The 18,793-nt window shown below is 47.7% G+C and overlaps 1 protein-coding gene across 4 annotated transcripts in view, besides 2 other annotated features; it reads left to right on the top strand.

The window, feature by feature from the left end:
• Positions 1-15,676, top strand: part of ATXN7L1 (ataxin 7 like 1) — a 271,828-nt gene extending 256,152 nt beyond the window's left edge. For 2 of the 4 annotated variants that reach the window (NM_001385596.1, NM_138495.2), the window contains 4 exons: positions 127-248; positions 5,632-6,586; positions 9,845-9,919; positions 12,555-15,676. In NM_001385596.1, coding sequence (NP_001372525.1) covers positions 127-248; positions 5,632-6,586; positions 9,845-9,919; positions 12,555-12,596 — 1,194 coding nt within the window. In that variant the 3' untranslated portion in view covers positions 12,597-15,676. Of the gene's footprint in view, positions 1-126; positions 249-5,631; positions 6,975-9,844; positions 9,920-12,554 lie in introns of those variants that run through there. The other 2 variants (NM_020725.2, NM_001318229.2) reach the window with 2 other exon arrangements.
• Positions 3,987-4,486: an enhancer, noted in NCBI's record as "H3K27ac hESC enhancer chr7:105256409-105256908 (GRCh37/hg19 assembly coordinates)". NCBI's record gives its function as "activates a minimal SCP1, AML or CMV promoter by ChIP-STARR-seq in primed H9 embryonic stem cells {active_cell/tissue: H9 hESC(primed)}" and the evidence as "EXISTENCE:reporter gene assay evidence [ECO:0000049][PMID:30033119]".
• Positions 4,487-4,988: an enhancer, noted in NCBI's record as "H3K27ac hESC enhancer chr7:105255907-105256408 (GRCh37/hg19 assembly coordinates)". NCBI's record gives its function as "activates a minimal SCP1, AML or CMV promoter by ChIP-STARR-seq in primed H9 embryonic stem cells {active_cell/tissue: H9 hESC(primed)}" and the evidence as "EXISTENCE:reporter gene assay evidence [ECO:0000049][PMID:30033119]".
• Positions 15,677-18,793: the final 3,117 nt, after the last annotated feature.

Genomic DNA, 18,793 nt, shown 5'->3' with positions numbered 1-18,793 from the left:
GTACGGTTTGCTTCTTTGAGTAAAACTGTGCCCTTGTATGTTTTTATGTAAATGTTATTTTTCTCTGTATAGTTTATATTAGCTTATTAACCTGTAATCAAAATTAAAATTTTTTTTTCCTCACAGTTTTGCTCATTTGGGAGTCGCCTCATGGGACGAGGGTACTATGTGTTTGATAGAAGATGGGATCGTTTTCGATTCGCACTAAACTCCATGGTAGAAAAACACCTGAATTCACAGATGTGGAAGTAAGTGAGCAGCTTTTGTGCAATATAAGATCCAAGCTGCCCCACAGTTACCTGAAACTTAACTTTCTAAATAAATGTCAGTGGCTGACTTTTCATAGAACAAAATGATTCTGAAGTCAGGATGCTTGATTAATTCTTAAATACCAGCTCTTCTTAATGGTTTGCCTGAAGGTTTTGAGAAACACGAATGATGTGTTACATGCTTTGTCTTTTTTGGAGACCATTTTTGTGTTGGTAATCTCCTAAATGAGAAGGATGTTAGATAATATATTGTCTGTTTACCTAAGTTAAAGGGCCTTTTTATTGCTCCTAGAGAATCTAAGGATGTTAAGAACATGCTTCTGGCTGAGTGCAGTGATTCACGCCTGTAATCCCAGCGCTTGGGAGGCCAAAGCAGGAGGATTGCTTGAGGCCAGGAGTTTGCGATCAGCCTGGGCAATATAGCAAGACCCCCATCTCTACAAAAAATAATTTTTAAAAATTAGCTGGGTGTAATGACACACACTTATGATCCTAGCTACTTGAAAGGCCTGGGGTGGGAGGATCGCTTCAGGCCAAGAGTTCAAGGTCACAGTGAGCTATGATTGTGCCACTGCACTCAGCCTGAGCAATGGAGCAAGACCCTCTCTCTTAAAAAAAAAAAAAAAAAAAAAAAAAAAAAAAAAAAAATATATATATATATATATATATATATATATATATATGCTTCTGTTTGTGATGTTAATACTACAATATCAAAACTAAAGATTTCAGCCAGGCACGGTGGCTCACGCCTATAATCCTGGCACTTTGTGAGGCTGAGGCGAGCGGATCAACTGAGATCAGGAGTCCAAGACCAGCCTGGCCAACATAGTGAAACCCCCGTCTCTACTAAAAATACAAAAATTAGCTGGGTGTGGTGGCGCACACCTGTAATCCCAGCTACTCAGGAGGCTAAGGCAGGAGAATCGCTTGAACCCGGAAGGCAGAGTTTGCAGTGAGCTGAGATCATACCACTGCACTCCACCCTGGGTGACAGAGGGAGACTCCGTCTCAAAAAAAAAAAAAAAAAAAAAAAAACTAAAGATTTCATTATGGTTGTGGACCAATTGCTAATTTCTAGTTGTTTGCTGTCCTGTGAAAACATCTGTACACTTGCCAACAGGGCAGATCCTGAGCAATGCTGTGAAGTTGGTTAAGTTTGTCTTTGGCCCTTCCCGCCTCCTTAGGACTCCCCACCCACCTCTACTTGTACTTCTCTACCCTAAACTCCAACTTAGGTTCCCTTTCTCTTAAGTTCCTTTACTATCCACTTCCCAGTGTACTTACATTTTAATAGGGGATTCATAAACAGGGAAGAAGCCTTAATCTGGAAGAATGCTATTGGTAAGAAATAATAGGCCGCTTGATAATGTAAGGCCGGCCCACTGGGTATCCCCATCCCCCACTCCTACAAAGGTGAGCTCTCAAGATATCATCATCCATTGGAGTCATGGATCACATAAATCTGGGCCTAGACAGTCCAGGAAGGACAACAGCTGAGGCCCCCCAGCTGCCCACTGAGGTCCAGTAGAGGCAAGGAAGGGATTCCTAAGAAACGGGAGGGAACAGAAGTCAAAATTTGCCCCTCTTCCAGGATTCCTCCTCTCCCCCAGGCAGCTACGACACCTTAGGCCCCTTTCTGGAAGCCTAAAGAGCTTCCAGACCTGAACTTCTAGGAGAAGTGAGCCCCATTTGTGTCTGAATTGAGCTCTCATGGCAGACTTAGTACTAAATGTTAACATTTACTATAAGGTAGGTAAGGGCCACAAGAGAAGCTTATCATTTCTTCCCATTTAAGTGACTGCCCAGTGTGTGTAAAGGGCACCCTTGATATTTACTTGTGTCCATTCCAAACAGCAACAAATTGGTGCTACACGTGGGGTGACTGTGCTCTCAGTTACTTGGTGATTGAGCCTCTGCTCTTGTTCCCCAAGACGGCAGCCAGCCCTGGTGATCCTCGCAGCTCTTTGCTCCCTGTGTTATGGAAGTGTCAATCCCGGACACGTGGAAGGAATGTGTTGATCTGTATTTCACTCCCTGGTGTCCTGTCAGCTCAAGCTCCATATTCCTTTCCTCCTCAGGCACAGAAACCCGAGCCACAGGGCATCAGGTCCCTCCCCCCTGTTCAGGACTTGCCTAACCAATCTGCTGTCACTGAGCAACATTGGGGCTGCCTGGGTGTCAACTCTGGAGAGCGTAGCACCCCGCTACCCTCTCAACCTCGCTGCCCAAACCCCAGGCCCCGGCGGGCCCGAACCTGGAGGGATGGCAGCCGATGGGGGCGTGGAAGACATTAGGAAGAAAAGGAACGGCCAAGACTCTTTTTTCTTTAACAAGCATTTAACTCTGCATCAGGAGCCGCCAACACAGTATTCTCTTTCAGCCAGGTCAGCATCTGGACCTCCATGCCACCTGGCAGGGGAGGTTGGGCACTGTCAGTAATTTATTCGCATCTGTGGGCTTTAGTGTGGGACTTCCCTGGGCCAGTGTGCAAAGCTTAAACCAGGGCACAGCCCAGCAAAGCTGAAATCCACTGCCATTTGACACCTAGAAAAACACATAAACTGTTTAGCCTTGGCGGGGAAGGGACTCCTGGGGACAGGGAGCTGCCACATGCCCCTCACCCTATTTCTCCCCTGCCCTATCTCCCCTCCTGCCCCTGCTATCCACTTGTGAGTAGTGAGGCAAGAAAAGGATAGAAAGCGTGCCTAAAAATAGCACCCATCCCAATCCTGAGTGTCAGCCAGGTTAAGATTTAGGGCTTCAACTCTGCTAGTCAGCACAAGTTGAAGTGTGAATTTATACTATTTAATTGGAAAATTATAAATTGAGACATTAAAAATGGATCCCATTCAGGCCGGGTGCAGTGGCTCATGCCTGTAATCCCAGCACTTTGGGAGGCCGAGGCAGGCAGATCACGATGTTAGGAGATCGAGACCATCCTGGCTAACACGGTGAAACCCCGTCTCTACTAAAAACAAAAATTTATCCGGGCCTGGTGGCGGGTGCCTGTAGTCCCAGCTACTCAGGAGGCTGAGGCAGCAGAATGGCGTGAACCCGGGAGGCGGAGCCTGCAGTGAACTGAGATCACACCACTGCACTCCAGCCTGGGGAACAGAGCAAGACTCCATCTAAAAAAAAAAAATGGAAAAAATGGATCCCATTCAAAGTCATTGATTGGGATCCTCTCTAAATGAGCCATCTGGTATTTGTAAATAACTTTTTATTCCAAGTAACTGCCAAACCTCTGCCCACATGTATTTCTATCTATACTTTAGTGTAAGCAAACTTGAGTCAAGGAAAGATGGAGTGGGTTGCCTATAGTACCACAGCAAGGCAACAAAAGCAGCAGGAAAGTTGGGAGGTTCCTCCCCCTCTAAGAAATGTTCCCTGCCCCTGTTAGGAAGGGGTTGTGCAGGGCCAGACAGTTCTAAGGATGTGTGTAGACATTTCCAGTCTGATCATATGGGAGTCCTTGCCCACCATGCATAGTTCCTGACAATATGGGTATGGTGCTGCTGAGAATCCACCTGCTCACCCATCCACCTACCCATTCATCCATCCATTCATTCACTCATTCATTCATTGCAACAAGTATTTATGGGGCACCTTGCTGAGTGCTTACAGGATCTCTTACCTTCTTTAGGCTTGAGAGAATGTAAATTCTCAATGCCATCATGGCCATTGTGAGTTTGGCAACATTTTTCTCTTGTATTTGATCCCTTTGGTCTGACGTTTTCAAGGACAAGGATTCCTCTGGATTCTACCCTAAAGATGGATGCCACAGGCTCCACCAAAGTGCAGGCCAAAAGCAGAATCTTCAGAGAGGAACGCTAGGAGAGACATTTATCTCTCAGCAGTGCCTCTTTCCAGAGTTCGCTGGCACCTGGTCCTGATGCTACAGCTGGGAGAGTGGCCTCCAAAGAAGAGAAAGGACGGTGTGAGGCCCTGTCTTGCACGTGTTCTAGCCCACTGGGGCACAGGCTCTGGGCCTGCTCACCTTCATGTGCTGCTTTCAAAGAAGGAAAGCTAGTTCCTAATCGCTAGTGAGCCCCAGCTACAGTGAAAATGATTTCCCAGGGAAACCGGGAGAGGGAGCAAGGTGAGAAATGGGAAAGGACCAGCTTGAACACATTTACCTGGCTCCCGAGGGCCATGTGCTTTCCTGCAAAATCACGAACAAACGTCCCTGTGGCCGTGTGCCTCCTCCCGGTCCCCAGAGTAGCAGCAGCAGCACCCCAGGCTGTAGGATGGAAGGAGGAGTCACTCCCAGCGCAAATCAGAAGATGGAGTTTGCAGGGAGGCCCCAAGAGTAAGCCACAGCCTAGTGCTGGTCTTGGCTCCAGGGAGTTTGCTCTGAGGTACCCCCCAGCCTCCAAGAAGACCAAAGAAGAAAACAGTGGGTTTCCCCTTCCCTCCTGTTTTTCTCCTCCTGTCCACATCCTACATTTATCTTCAGAACAAACTAGAAATCCCTGATCTCCTTCTCTGGACATATGAGGGTCCCCACACTCACCATTTCCTAACACGGGACAAGAAGACCCGTGTGGGGTGTGGTCAGCAGCCACACCCCAGACAGCTCCTCTGAGCAAGAGCTAAGGTAGAATGGGCTGAATAGGAAAAAACAAAGCTAGTCCTGGGAATGGGCAACTTGCCATCTCACCATTCCCAAACCCCTAACCCTCCACGGCCCAGCCACCAGGAGCCAGCAGCCGCGAGTCAGTGTGGAAATGGCTCTCTGCAGAGGGAACCAGAGGCTGCAGACAGCAAAGGCGAGAGGATGCTGGCCTTGGAGAGGGCCGTTCCCCAACTGCCTCCAGCCCAGAGCAGGGTGGGGAAAGCCCCGAGAGTCTCTGGGCAGAAGCTGGAGTGGGTGGAGAGGGGAAGCTCCGGCCCCTGTGTCCAGGTAGCAAAGCCCTGTCCTCACATTTCTTACTTGCAACCAGGACCTACATGTGAAATGATCACTTCTCATTAAAAACCACCTTCATTGCTGCCAAAAAAAGAGAGTTGGGGGGTGGGGGCAGTGGTTGAGAGAGGAGAATACTGGGGAGATTTCTATTCTAAATAACATTGACCTTTTATTCATGAACCCAAATCAGGCCTTCTCCAGTAGCCAAGCCTGGAGAAAAGGATCTGAAAGACTGTGCGTGATGAAAATTAGGTTGCTGGATGTTGCAATGGGGGGTGCCATAAGGAGGGGCCATGCTTCAGATTCTCCCATCCTTCAAGGCTCCATTCTCCATAGTCTGGTTCTGCCGGGGTGTCCTCTGTAGCCCTGATCCTCAAACGTCATCGAGCCTCCTGAGCAATGCCAACCCGATGTCTCACTGATTCTCTTTCACTCTTCTCTCATGTTTAGGAAGATCCCTCCTGCGGCAGATAGCCCCCTGCCCTCGCCAGCAGCCCACATCACCACCCCCGTTCCAGCATCCGTTTTGCAGCCTTTCAGCAACCCCAGTGCTGTGTATCTTCCTTCAGCTCCCATCAGCTCGAGGCTCACCTCTTCTTACATAATGACATCAGCCATGCTCTCAAACGCAGCTTTCGTGACATCGCCGGACCCGAGCGCCCTCATGTCCCACACCACAGCTTTCCCTCATGTGGCCGCAACCCTCAGCATCATGGACTCAACCTTCAAGGCCCCATCCGCCGTGTCCCCGATACCAGCCGTCATCCCTTCCCCATCCCACAAGCCATCCAAAACCAAAACCAGCAAATCCTCAAAAGTCAAAGACCTGTCCACCCGTAGCGACGAGTCTCCAAGTAACAAAAAAAGGAAGCCACAGTCTTCGACTTCCTCCTCCTCCTCCTCCTCCTCCTCTTCCTTGCAGACATCCCTCTCGTCTCCACTGTCAGGGCCTCACAAAAAGAACTGTGTTTTGAATGCCAGTTCTGCTTTGAACTCCTATCAGGCGGCCCCTCCCTATAACAGCCTGTCTGTGCACAACTCAAACAATGGGGTGAGCCCACTCAGTGCCAAACTGGAGCCCTCAGGACGGACCTCGCTGCCCGGCGGCCCCGCGGACATAGTGAGACAGGTGGGCGCGGTGGGAGGCAGCAGTGACTCCTGTCCCCTCTCTGTGCCCTCCCTTGCGCTCCACGCAGGGGACCTCTCTCTGGCCTCACACAATGCTGTGTCTTCTCTGCCCCTCTCTTTTGACAAATCAGAAGGAAAAAAGCGTAAGAACTCGAGTTCTAGTAGCAAAGCCTGTAAAATCACTAAAATGCCTGGTATGAATAGCGTTCACAAAAAGAACCCGCCCAGCCTTCTCGCACCGGTGCCCGATCCCGTTAACAGCACCTCCTCTCGGCAGGTAAGGGACCTCCTGGCACCGCCTTCACCGGCTCTGGGGGGCAGGGGGAGCTGGGCAGCGCCCCTGCTTAGCCGGGCGGCTCCGACAGGTAACACAAGCTTGATTCCTGTTCTCGTTTTCCCCGAAGGCAGTTTTCACCCTCTGCTTTGAGAGCACTTTACTGAACAAGTACTTGATACCACGCTCACTATGTGCTAGACACTGTTCTCGGCACTTTACGGTTATTACCTCACTGAGTCCTCACGACACCCCAGTGCAGTGAGTGCAGTTATCACTTTACAGATGAGTAAACTGAGGCACAGAGAGATTCTGAGTTCCCCACTCCACATCGGTCAGTTTTATCTTTTGAGGTTCTGAGAACATTGTCATTAAAGAGTTCTGTTGCTAAGAGGTTTGATCTGATCTGTTGGAACCCCCTTAGGAAGAGCTTGAGGCCCAGGCAGGTTAAATGCTGACCCAGGGTCCCACCTGGGAGTGGGAGCGCCTGTGCCCGGCTCCCGGGTGATTGTCCTTCCCACTTTCCTAGGCTGCCTCGACCCCCACCTCCTCCTAATAGAATTCTTTCCTTCCTAAAGAAAAACTGCAACTGTCACCAGCTGGCAAAGAAGTGTTCAATGCCATGGTGCAGATAGGAGTGTGTATGGTGAGGAAGCTGAGAGAGTGTGGCGCAGTCTGGGAAGGATACATGTTTCTTTCCCTTGAGCTCTGTTCTCATCCCTGAGTCTAGTCCTTCTCCTCCGGCTGGGGGGCTACTTAGGAAAGCCCACCACCACCCCCGCCCCAGCCTCTGGGGGCCAGTTGGGCATAGAGATGAGGGAGCAGACGTGGGGAAGGGCCTGGCCTCGGATTCTCTGGGGAGCCAGGTCTGACGAGAGGGCCGGCCAACCTGCCCGGGAGCCTAGACCCATCAGGGCAGTGTGTCCAGAGACCGTTACACAGAATCAAGGCCACCAAACCCCAAGCCCAGCCCCATCTAGGGACCTGAGGACTTTGGAGCAATGGGAGGCAGTTGTTAAAAGATGTTTTAATGTTTTATGTCACCACTTATGAGACTTGTTATAACCTCATGAAGAGCACAGCCTGAGGGGGATTCACAAATCACAAACACATGAGAAACAGCAAGTTTGGAACCCAAGGGCCAGACAAGCTGCAAACCGAGGCCAAGGTGAGAGGAGCGGGAGACACAGGTCCTCTCGCTCGAGCTGAGGGCACTGTTCTGACTCCCCATGGCCAGGGGTGTGAGGGAGGGGGGCTGGCACCCACAGGGCTCTCCCTGGAGGCTAAACTGCTGGTGGGTGCCACCGCCAGGTCCCAGGATGGAGGGCAGAGCCAAGGCCTCTCAAGTTTGAACATATACACGAATCCCCCGGGGGGCTTGTGAACATGCAGATTCTCAATCAGCAGGCCTGGGCAGGGGCCTGGGAGTCTGCATTTCTAACAGCCTCCCAGGCCACGCCTTGAACAGCAAGGCCGTGGTATCTCACTCATTTTAGATACAGTCCCAGCAGCTAACACGTAGATGATGGGCTCTGTTCCAAGCACTTCAGGTGTATTAACTCATTTTATAATTACTTGCTGTTACTCTCCTTTTACAGATGGGTGAACCAAGGCACAGGAGGGTTAAGCAAGGCACCCAAAATCACACAGCGAAGCAGTAGTTAGGCTAGGATTTAAACCCAGGCATTTTGGCTCTGGAGTCTGGCCTCTTAGCCTCCATGCCATTAACAGAGTCCCTCTGTGTTGAGTAGATGTGGCTCTGTTGATACTTTGGTCTGCAGGACTGTAGGAAATGCTTAGTAAATGCTGAGTCAGCCAGAAGCGGTGGTGAAAGGAGCAGCCAAGTACTCATCAGGAGGGAATTCAAAAAAACGGATGCATTTAACGGCTGCCTTGGATATGGTCAGCATTGGTTCTCTAACGCAGGTGATACCTCGGTGCTTGTCAGCAGGGCATTAAGAAAAGGCTTTATCACTGGTGATTTCCAAGTATTCAGTAAAGGCAAAGGCCCTTGGGATCTGTGTTAATTCTGCTAGGAGATCGGGGTCGGGGCAACGCATGAGATTGAGAAATCCAAGATAAACCTTTGCTTTGAGAACAATTTGGGGATCCATTTAATTGTATCTGGTTGATATAAGGCCAGAAGTTGCCACAGGGCTATTAAACTGAATAAAAAATCAAGACTGTGAATGTAGCCAGGTGTGGTGGCTCACATCTGTAATCCCAGCATTTCGGGAGGCCGAGATGGGTGGATTATCTGAGGTCAGGAGTTGGAGACCAGCCTGGCCAACATGGCAAAACCCTGTCTCTATTAAAAATACAAAAATTAGCTGGGTGGGGTGGCACGTGCCTGTAATCCCAGCTACTCGGGAGGCTGAGGCAGGAGAATCACTTGAACCCCAGAGGCAGAGGTTGCAATGAGCCAAGATCGTGCCACTGCACTCCAGCCTAGGCAACAGAGTGAGACTGTGTCTCAAAAATAAATAAAATAATGTAAGGCAAACATCTTTACATAAAGGCAAGTTAATGGAGAAGAGGAGCGGTTTATAGGATGAAAGTTCAAGCTGCCTTTGCAGACTAGACAGGGACTGGTTAGTGCCTGGCATCAGCTTCCCCAAGGACCGGGCCCATTGTGTGAAGGACAGTCCCAGAGGAAGGGGAAGGGCACAGTGGCCACACCCGCATGCATAGCGTTCCTGTCCTCCATCCACATGAAGGAGAAGCCCAGCACCATCGTGCTATTTTCCTAAAGAACAGTTGCGTGTGCGTTACATCTCCTAGCCGGGAAAACTGACCCAGCAAAAGATCCAGGTGTTTTATCTGCAGCCAGGCTGAGGGAGTCTGGGCTGGAAACAAGATGGGTTTGGGACGGAGGGTCAGAGGTATATGAGCTGTGTGACCGTTTGGCCACAGGTAGAAAAGCCCAGCCTCTGCTGAGTGAAGCTCCCAGGAGGGGCCAGGCATCTCCACCAGATGCCTTTGTCCTCATCCTTCCCTGTTCTGTCCCGGCCAGCTAGGGAGCAGTATGAGGAGTCCCCACAATTCTACTTTTCCTCTGGGAAGGAGAGGGCATCCCTCAAGGCACCCTCTGCAACATTTTCATTTTCTCTGCCACTTAAGATGGAAACACCAGTTCCGAGCCAATCTGAGGGAATGAAGGAGGCATTGTGCAGCCCTTCTTTCCCCTAGAACATGTGGCATCGGCGGGCCCTTCCCAGGCTGGCTCGTGTGTCTGAGTGGGGCTTCAATGGTGTCTTTCAGGTTGGGAAAAATAGCAGCCTAGCTTTGTCACAATCCAGTCCTTCAAGTATATCCAGCCCAGGACACAGCCGACAGGTAAGTTACTGAGGGTGGGGGTGGGGCAAAAATTCATATGGTCATCAGCAGAGTGGAAAGAGTTTGGACACTGGGGTCAGACCCTGATTCAAACCTCATCTCCAGTTAAGAGCATGGCTACCTGGCTTCCAAACCTAGGCCTTCTAGTTAGCTGTGTGCCCTTGGGCAAGTTACTTAACTTCTCTGTGCTTCCATTTCCTCTGTCTATAAAGTGGGGATCATACTGGCCCCTACCTTTTATGGCTTTTGTGAGGATTAGCCTATTCATGTAAAGCCACTAGAAAATGCCTGGCACACAGTAAACCCACAAGTGTTAGCTATTATTACCAGCTGTATGAGCGTACGCACATTACCTCTCTGAGTCTCAGTTTTTTTCATTCGTTAAAAGGCAAAATTAATGCTTCCCTCCTAAGGCTATTGTGAAAATTAAAGAAGATGATTTGATTAAAGGGACTTGCGGCCGGGCATGGTGGCTCATGCCTGTAGTCCCAACACTTTGGGAGGCTGAGGCAGGTAGATCACAAGGTCAGGAGTTCGAGACCAGCCTGGCCAATATAGTGAAACACCATCTCCACTAAAAAATACAAAAAGTAACCGGGCGTGGTGGTGCGTTCCTGTAGTCCCAGCTACTCGGGAGGCTGAGGCAGGAGAATTGCTTGAACCAGGGAGGTGGAGGTTGCAGTGAGCTGAGATTGCACCACTGCACTCCAGCCTGGGTGACAGAGTGAGACTGTGTCTCAAGAAAAAAATTGTAAAAAAGGGACTTGCCAGCCAGGCATGATGCCTCACCTATAATCCCAGCACTTTGGGAGGCCGAGGCAGGAGGATGGTTTGAGCCCAGTAGTTTGAGACCAGCCTAAGGAACATGGTGAGACCCTATCTCTACAAAAATTTTAAATAGCCAGGCATGGCAGCAGATGCCTGTAGTCCCAGCTATTCAGGCAGCTGAGGCAGGAGAATCACTGAAGTCTGGGAGGTTGAGGCTGCAGTGAGCTGTGATTGCACCTTGCACTCCAGCCTGGGCAACAGAGCGAGATCCTATCTCAAAAAAAATTTTTTTTAGGCCAGGCATGGTGGCTTATGCCTGTAATCCCAGCACTTTGGGAGGCCAAGGCAGGCAGATCACGAGGTCAGGAGTTTGAGACTAGCCTTGCCCACATGGTGAAACCCCGTCTCTACTAAAAATGCAAAATTAGCTGGGCATGGTGGTGCGCACCTGTAATCCCAGCTACTCAGGAGGCTGAGGCAGGAGAATCACTTGAACCCGGGAGATGGAGGTTGCAGTGAGCCAAGATCGCACCATTGCACTCCAGCCTGGGCAATAGAGTGAGACTTTGTCTCAAAAAAAAAAAGAGGAGGGGGAGGCCTTGCCCATGGTGTCTGTCCATCAGCACTCTCTCAAAAGCCTCTGATGAGCTGCAGCCACCATTCAGGATGCAGTTTCATGGCAGCAGTATTCAGGGTAGACTTAGTAGTTTTTATAAACTTGATGTATAAGAGTAGTCGGTGTGTACACCTGTGATAAATGATTTTCTCAATGGAGTGTGTGCATATGTGTCTAGGGAGGACCAGGAAGGATTGGGGGGTGGGGTTTTGCCCCTTACACATGATTGGAAAATGTGTGGGTGTGCGTGTATATATAACCGTGTTGTTATGTTGCCTGAGATGTACCGCATGTTTTGTAGACACCAAATAACAAAATAGCAACGTGTGTGTATTTTGCCCTTTGGGATTTTCCCACAAATCTTGGGTAGAGTTTGGGTAAAGATTATGGGGAAATGGTTTTTGTATCCCCAGGCCAGGGAGAGTCTCCTCACCATTTTGAGTCCTTTTTGTGCCAGAACACTTGCAGCCCTTCATGTGTGCTGGGGTGGGAAGGCACATTTATACTCAGGCCGTCAGCCTCTGTTGATGGGGCCTCTTGTAGAGGTTGTCATGTGTACCTACAGACTACACTTCACCCTCACCAAACACAGCCTGCATGTGCCCATAGCTCCGGGTACACCTGCTGGGAACCCAAAATGCCAGCAATCAGCCCTGACAAACACAAATGGCCACCACTTGTGTAGCACTCTCTGCCTGCAGAGAGAGGGCTACGTGCTGTGTCCTTTACACACGCTACACACATTTAAACCTTTTCACAACCCTGTGAGGGACAAGATGATTACAGATGAAGATGGCTACACTAAGAAGCCAAGTAACTTGAACCCAAAATCTCTCTCTCCAGAGCCTCTGTGTTTAACCCAACACTAGAATCCTTCCTGAGATAATTTGCAGTGTCATCTATAGGTTAGGTAGGAAAAGGTGAACTAATGGAGAACAAAAATGAAGGCATCAATTATTCTGTCCACTCTCCCAAAGAGGACTCCCAGGAATGTCCGCGGCATTCGTCCTTGTGTTTTCCTCCACAGTGAGGACCTCTGTGACTGCCTTACATGCATGGATCCGTCACCTCATTTGCTATTGGGTCCTTTAGATCCATCATCTCTTGCTATTCCAGCTGCCCTTTGCTGGATATGGGAGGTGGGATATTGTCCTTTCTATTATAGATGAGAAAACTAAGTCTCCATCCTTGAATTCTCATGGGTAATCTCAACTGTATGGTTTTGAAACAAGTTTTTCTTTTCTTTCCTAGAAGAACACAAACAGAACGGGCAGGATAAGGACTCTTCCATAACAAGACTATGAAGCCACTTCCACATCAATTCCAGGCCACCTAATCCCATCCGAGGAGGCCATGGGGAGGAGGAGGGAGGGGAGTGGGCTGGGGGGAGAGTCTGTTTTCTGTGCACTCCCTGTGACTCTGGCCTTTCTTCTTCTTTTTTTAATTGACCAATTTTTAGTTAAAAAGGCAAAAGAAGGTGAATTTGAGATTTACAGAAAACAGTTCCAGTGTTTGGTTTCCGCTGTCTTTCCTTTCATTTGCCATGTTTTTACATTCTTCCAAATTTGGGGTCACTCCCCTAGCTCCTGATGCTGCTACTGTACCATCCTTTTGCTCCAGCCATGAGAGCAGACATTGCAGAATGTTGGTTCCAGGTTGGCATGCTCTGAAGCTCTTGAACTGTAGCACAGGCAGAGCCCTTTTTCTTCCTGTCATCTCCACCCGATTCCTTCCATCCCTACGTCTACCACTCTCTGGGTCCTCACTGGTCTTCAAAGGACCTGGCTCTCATAGGATCCCCTCAGGATTGTGTGCAGGGAGAGGGGGCTTTGCTGGGGAGGAGCTGGGAGTGGAGAGTTGGAGGGTGGGTGGGGTTCCCTCATCCAGTTTCCACAGCCCACCATGGCTGGAGCCAAATGCTAGAAGCGAGATTGAGAACAGTGGCCGTTTAGTGATGTGGTTTACCTAATACCACTGTCCAGCTGTGCAGCTCAGAAAGGATAAACCAGTCAGGGACAGGGGCCAGAACAGGTTTGGGAAGGTGGCAGCAAGCAGAGCATGGTGGGTAGGAGATGATCCCTAAAAAAACTGGAGACTGTGGTGGTCTGAGCTGGTCAGGAATCTGCAGAATCCCTTCCAGGAATCAGTGTGCCAGTGCCCACAGCAGGGTGAGCTAGGAGGGAGAAATCCCAGGAAAAAGGTCGTGAGAACCCAGAAAGCCACTCCATGAGGAGGCACGGTGACCACAGCTGCTAAAGGTTCTTAGGCTGCCTTCCTGGGCTAGGAAGAGCCCCCCAGGGAGAGCTTCCACAAAAGGGTATGTGTCAAACCTTTTGTCAGAATAAATAATAGCATTTCCCACCCACCCCCATGCCCTGGGCCACAGGGACTTGGTGGGATCAGCACACCCATGGATCAGCTTTTGCTGTCTTAGAGACAGCCATCCCCATGAAGGAATGGTAAGGACAGCCACTGCTCAGTGAAGAACAGCCATTTGGAAGAGCCACGCTGGAGCCCTGCAGCCATAGAACTATTCACACTGGAGTTTTAAAAGAAACAGCAATACCATAAGCTCTAGTAGGGAATCATAATCAGGAAAGGAATTCACAACATAAAATAGGTGTTCTGTGCTATTAATCATGTAACTTTGTATATGATGTATAGCAAAGATACTGGGAGGTTTTGTTTCATCCTTAAATCAGAAATGAATGCTAGTTTCATAGCTGGGCAGAACCCTCATCCCCACCCCAAAGTTTTCCTTTTCTTTCCCGTTCCCCCAACCCAAAGATCAGACTACTGTTAAGTTTCACCACACAATTGGAATTGCAAAGACGGGAGGCAAATGGAGTGATTTTCATCAATGGAATTGCACTGACAGTGAGTGTTTCTTATAGGATTACTAAATTTTTTAATATAAAATGATTTGTTTAAAAATCAGGAGTTGATATTAAGTACCAGGACATTAGTTCGGATGATTTCATTTTTATTTCTACAGTGTTAAAAGTGCACTTATATGCTGGTTTATTTACGTCTTGGGAAAAGAGACTGCAAATTGAAGGGATGATTGTTACTTTTTCTTTTTTTAAAAAAAAAAGGTTAAGGAGATTTTAAGACTTATAAATGTTTAAGAAATTATAAACAAGGTTAGACCCTTTGAAAAAAAGTTTAGAAGATATTCTTAAAGTAAATTTTTATAGTGTTAATTTTGTAATAATTTATGTTTTACTATATTACAGAGCTAACTGACCAGAATAGTTTCAGAAACAATATGAAACTTAGGAAAGTTTAAGCAATGTTTATATTTTTAAAATGTTCTTTGAATTATGTTTTTATTGTACATTTCTTCAGACTGAAAAGTATGTACATATCTTTGTTATTTTTGCACAATTTTGTCTTGTTCGGTTTCAGAGGTCTGTTGTTTTTTATAATTTATTTTGAGTTGTAAAACTTGCAGGAGTAAAAACAAAAAACAAAATCTCCACAACAAAATAACCCTCTGATTTATAAACTCTTATAGTCAAAGAGGGAAAACAAAGGTTGAGAGATTAAGTGGCTGCTTCTGAGAAATAATGTCTCAAGGACTAAAGGAGCAATTCAATAGGTTTAGACATTGTAGCTCTCTACATCTTGAATTGGAAGCTGGAATAAAGAGCCCCCACCCCCCCCCCCACCCTCATCGAATGCTGCTTACTTTGTCAAAAGACTGGCTATGACCAAGGTGAGGATATTTCTGGAAAACTGGGCAAAAAGGGAAAGCCCACAGTATTCTTCCTTGGCAGTCAACCACAGGTTTACTTTACAATGATGTATTAAAAACTTGCAGCTTGAAAAATGGAATGCAAATAAAAGGTTCTCTTTGGGTTTGTCTTAATGGAGTTAAACTGGAGCAGCCTATAAAACATTTTTAGGGTGATGTCCTCTGGGTCCTTCTGTTCTGCACACCCACTCAGTCTTCTCTCCCAGCCCCTTGACTGCACACACCCCTCTTTGCCTGAAGATCTCCTGACTTGTCGCCAGCCATAGAGGCTCGAAAGCTCTGGTTGTGAAGCATAACGCAATGCATAGACCTGTCAGCCATAAAAAAAAAAAAAAAAAAAAAAAAGCGACTTGGATAACTTGTATGCCTTCTTTTGTATCAATGTACCAATTGTAAATAATGCTGATCAACCTTTGTAGAGAATAGTTTATACAGCATATTCTATTATTGCTGATTCTCAGTGAACTCTTGTTTTAAAAAAGGAAAAAAAGAAATTTTCTATTTACACCTTATATTTTGTTATGCTGTCGGCCCATGGCACTTTAACAAAACTCTGTGGGTTTTACGTAGCTGGTCAGTCATGGGGTATATTAAATAACTGTTGTTGCACAGACAAGAATTTGCACCTGCTCATTTGTCCTTTCCTACTACCAATTTTAGAACCTTTTCCAGAAAAATTTTGAAGAAAGCATGTCCGATCATTCTAAACAAATGCCACACTTGTGGAGTGGGTTTCTTTTCTACAATCCATATTTTGTAACACTAAGTATTTTCCTTCTTCGTCCCGCACCTCTATGTATTAGCACTATCAGATAGAGTTCATTCCATGCCTGTGATATTGTAAGCAGAATAAATGTCTAAAGTAGGTGTAAATAGTAAATTCTATGGCTTACAGTTTTAAAAGGAAAGAACAAACATGTATCTATTGATACTGCCATGGTTCCTCACCAGGCCTGGAAATATTCTCCAGTAAGCAATTGTATTTTTTTTTTTTTTTTGCTTTTTTTTTTTTTGTAACATGGCTTTGTAAATAAAATAATTTATATGTTTGTAAAACAAAGTCTTCGGGTTTTCATAAAATTTAAATTTTTGGTATTTCTTTTTTTTTTTTTTTTTTTTTTTTTTTTTTTTTGCCGGGGGTGAAGGTATTCTCACCAAAAGAGCCTTTCTGCTAGACCTGCGTTTGAGGCAGGAGACGACTGTGAGGAGAAGAGAAGACAGTGGATTCATTCAGCGAGTACTTAGAGAGCACCCTCTCTGTGCCTGCCCCTGAGCCAGGCGCTCTGTGCGCAGGGATGAGAAACACGATCCCAGCTGCTTTCTGGAAGCAACCCAGTGAGAAGGAAAGCAAATAAATACACACATGATCAGATGTGTAATTACGGATTGTGGCAAATGCTATGGTGGAAAGAACTGAATTCTGTGAGAGAAAGTAACAGGAGAGACATTTACGATGGAGAGGAGGCAGCTCTCAGGAAGTTCTCTCTGAAGAAGTGATCTGAAGGCAGAGATCACTTCTTGAAGCCTAAAGAGCGTCCATTGTGGACAGACCAGGGGCAGAGAGATGGACAGAGGGCAGGGACGAGGCCACAGAAGGCCTTTAGGGAGTTTGAATTTTGTGTCCAATTCAGTGGGAATCCTTGGAAGGGCTTTAAGGAGGGCCACGGTACTGTGATCTGTTAAAAGGGCACTCTAGCCACTGTGTGGTGAATCAGTGGGAAGCTATTGCAAGAGACAAAGTGAAGAACATCAGTGTGATCGAAAGATGATGACAGTAGCTATAAAGAAAAGTGTGTGCCAGCCTGGGCAATACAGGGAGACCCTGTCCCTAAAAAAAGGTAGCCGGGCATGGTGGTGCGCAGCTGTGATCCCAGCTATTTGGTGGGCTCAGGCGGGAGGATCGCTTGAGCTTGGGAGGTAGGTCAAGGTGTTACCAGTGGAAGGTATCCAAGTTACTGGTGGCAAACCTATACAGATCTGCAGCAACCTCAGTTCTTGCCTCCTCAGAAAAATTCAACTGGGGCATAAGGCAGAAGAAGAGATCGAGGCAAGTTTAAGAGCAGGAGTGAAAGTTTATTAAAAAGCTCTAGAGGCTGGATGGGCTCAGTGACTCACACCTGTAATCTCAACATTTCAGGAGGCCGAGGCAGGTGGATCACCTGAGGTTAGGAGCTTGGGACCAGCCTGGCCAACATGGTAAAACATCATCTCTACTAAAAATACAAAAAATGAGCTGGGCATGGTGGTACACGCTTGTAATCCCAGCTACGTGGGAGGCTGGGGCAGGAGAAGCACTTGAACTCGGGAGGCGGAGGTTGCACCACTACACTCCAGCCTGGGTGAAGGAGTGAGAGACTGTTCCAAAAAAAAAAAAAAATTAGCCGGGCATGGTTGCACGTGCCTGTAATCCCAGCTAGGAGTCAGGAGGCTGAGGCACGAGAATCGCTTGAACCTGGGAAGCGGAGGTTGCAATGAGCTGAGATCATATCACTGCACACCAGCCTGGGCAACAGAGCAAGACTCCATCTCAAAAAAAGAAAAGCTTTAGAGCAGTAAGGAAAGGAAAGAAGGAAAGTGCAATTGGAAGTGGACCAAGCAGGCGACTTGAGAAACCAAGCATGCAGCTTGATCTCTTGACTTGGGTGTTTTATCCATTGGCCTACTTCCAGGATCTTGCATTACTTCTCCCCACTGCTGAGATCTTACTGGGAAGCGGCTGATAGTTTCAAGTGTTTTCTATTAGGAGACTGCCTTTCCCTGGCACCGGCTGTGACCAATTATTACTTTAGCGAAACAGTTAACAACTGCCCGAACATGACCTGAGGGCCACCCAACTCTCCTGGTGTGTGGGGGGTGAGGGAGCTCTCTCCTGCCCTGCCCGTGCCTAATTAGCTGCCCCCTGTAACAAAGGTTGCAATGAGCCGTGCTCACACCACTGTGCTTCGGCCTGGGCAACAGAGACCCCATCTCAAAAAAAAAAAAAAAAAAGAAGTGGATTCAAGATATATGTATTTTAGATATGAAATTGATAAGATTTGTTTAGGTAAAGAACGACTCCCAGGTCTCTGGTAGAGCAATTAGTTTGGGTGGAGTTGTCATTTCTTCAGATATGGAAAACCAAAGGAGGAAGAGGCTTTTTGAGGGGCTGGCAGCAGGAGTGTTTAGTGAAGATCGGAAGCAGGCCGGGTACGGTGGCTCACACCTGTGATACCAGCACTTTGGGAGGCCAAGGTGGGCAGATCACCTGAGGTCAGGAGTTCAAGATCAGCCTGGCCAACATGGTGAAACCTCGTCTCTACTAAAAAAAATATTGTTGTGATTACCTGAGAGAATGTAAAGGGAGAAGAGAAGAGAGATTGGGTAGAGCCAGAAAGCTGGCAGGGAACCCTAAGATGAAGCCCTTCAAAGCAAAGAGTGACCCCAGCAGAAAGTGGTTCCCTGAAAGCCAGGACTGTACATGTTTTGGGGAAGGAGCAGTTAGCTGAACCAAATGCTGCTGCAAAATGGAAGACAGGGATGGCGGCGTGTCTAGGGCTTAGCAACGTGGCGGTCACTGGTGAATTATTAGTTTCCTAGGGTTATCATGACAAATGACCACAATGTGCTGGTTTAAAGCAACACACATTTATTATCCCATGGTTCTAGAGACCAGAAGTCCAAAATCAAGGCGTCCGCAGGCTGCATTCCCTTCCAAGGCTCTAGCAGAGAATCCTTCCTTGCCTCTTCCGGCTTC

Source organism: Homo sapiens, chromosome 7 (genome assembly GCF_000001405.40).
Source record: "Homo sapiens chromosome 7, GRCh38.p14 Primary Assembly".
In the NCBI taxonomy this organism is placed as follows: domain Eukaryota; kingdom Metazoa; phylum Chordata; class Mammalia; order Primates; family Hominidae; genus Homo; species Homo sapiens.
Note: the sequence above shows the minus strand (reverse complement) of the source record. Positions and strands in the feature narration are given on the sequence as shown.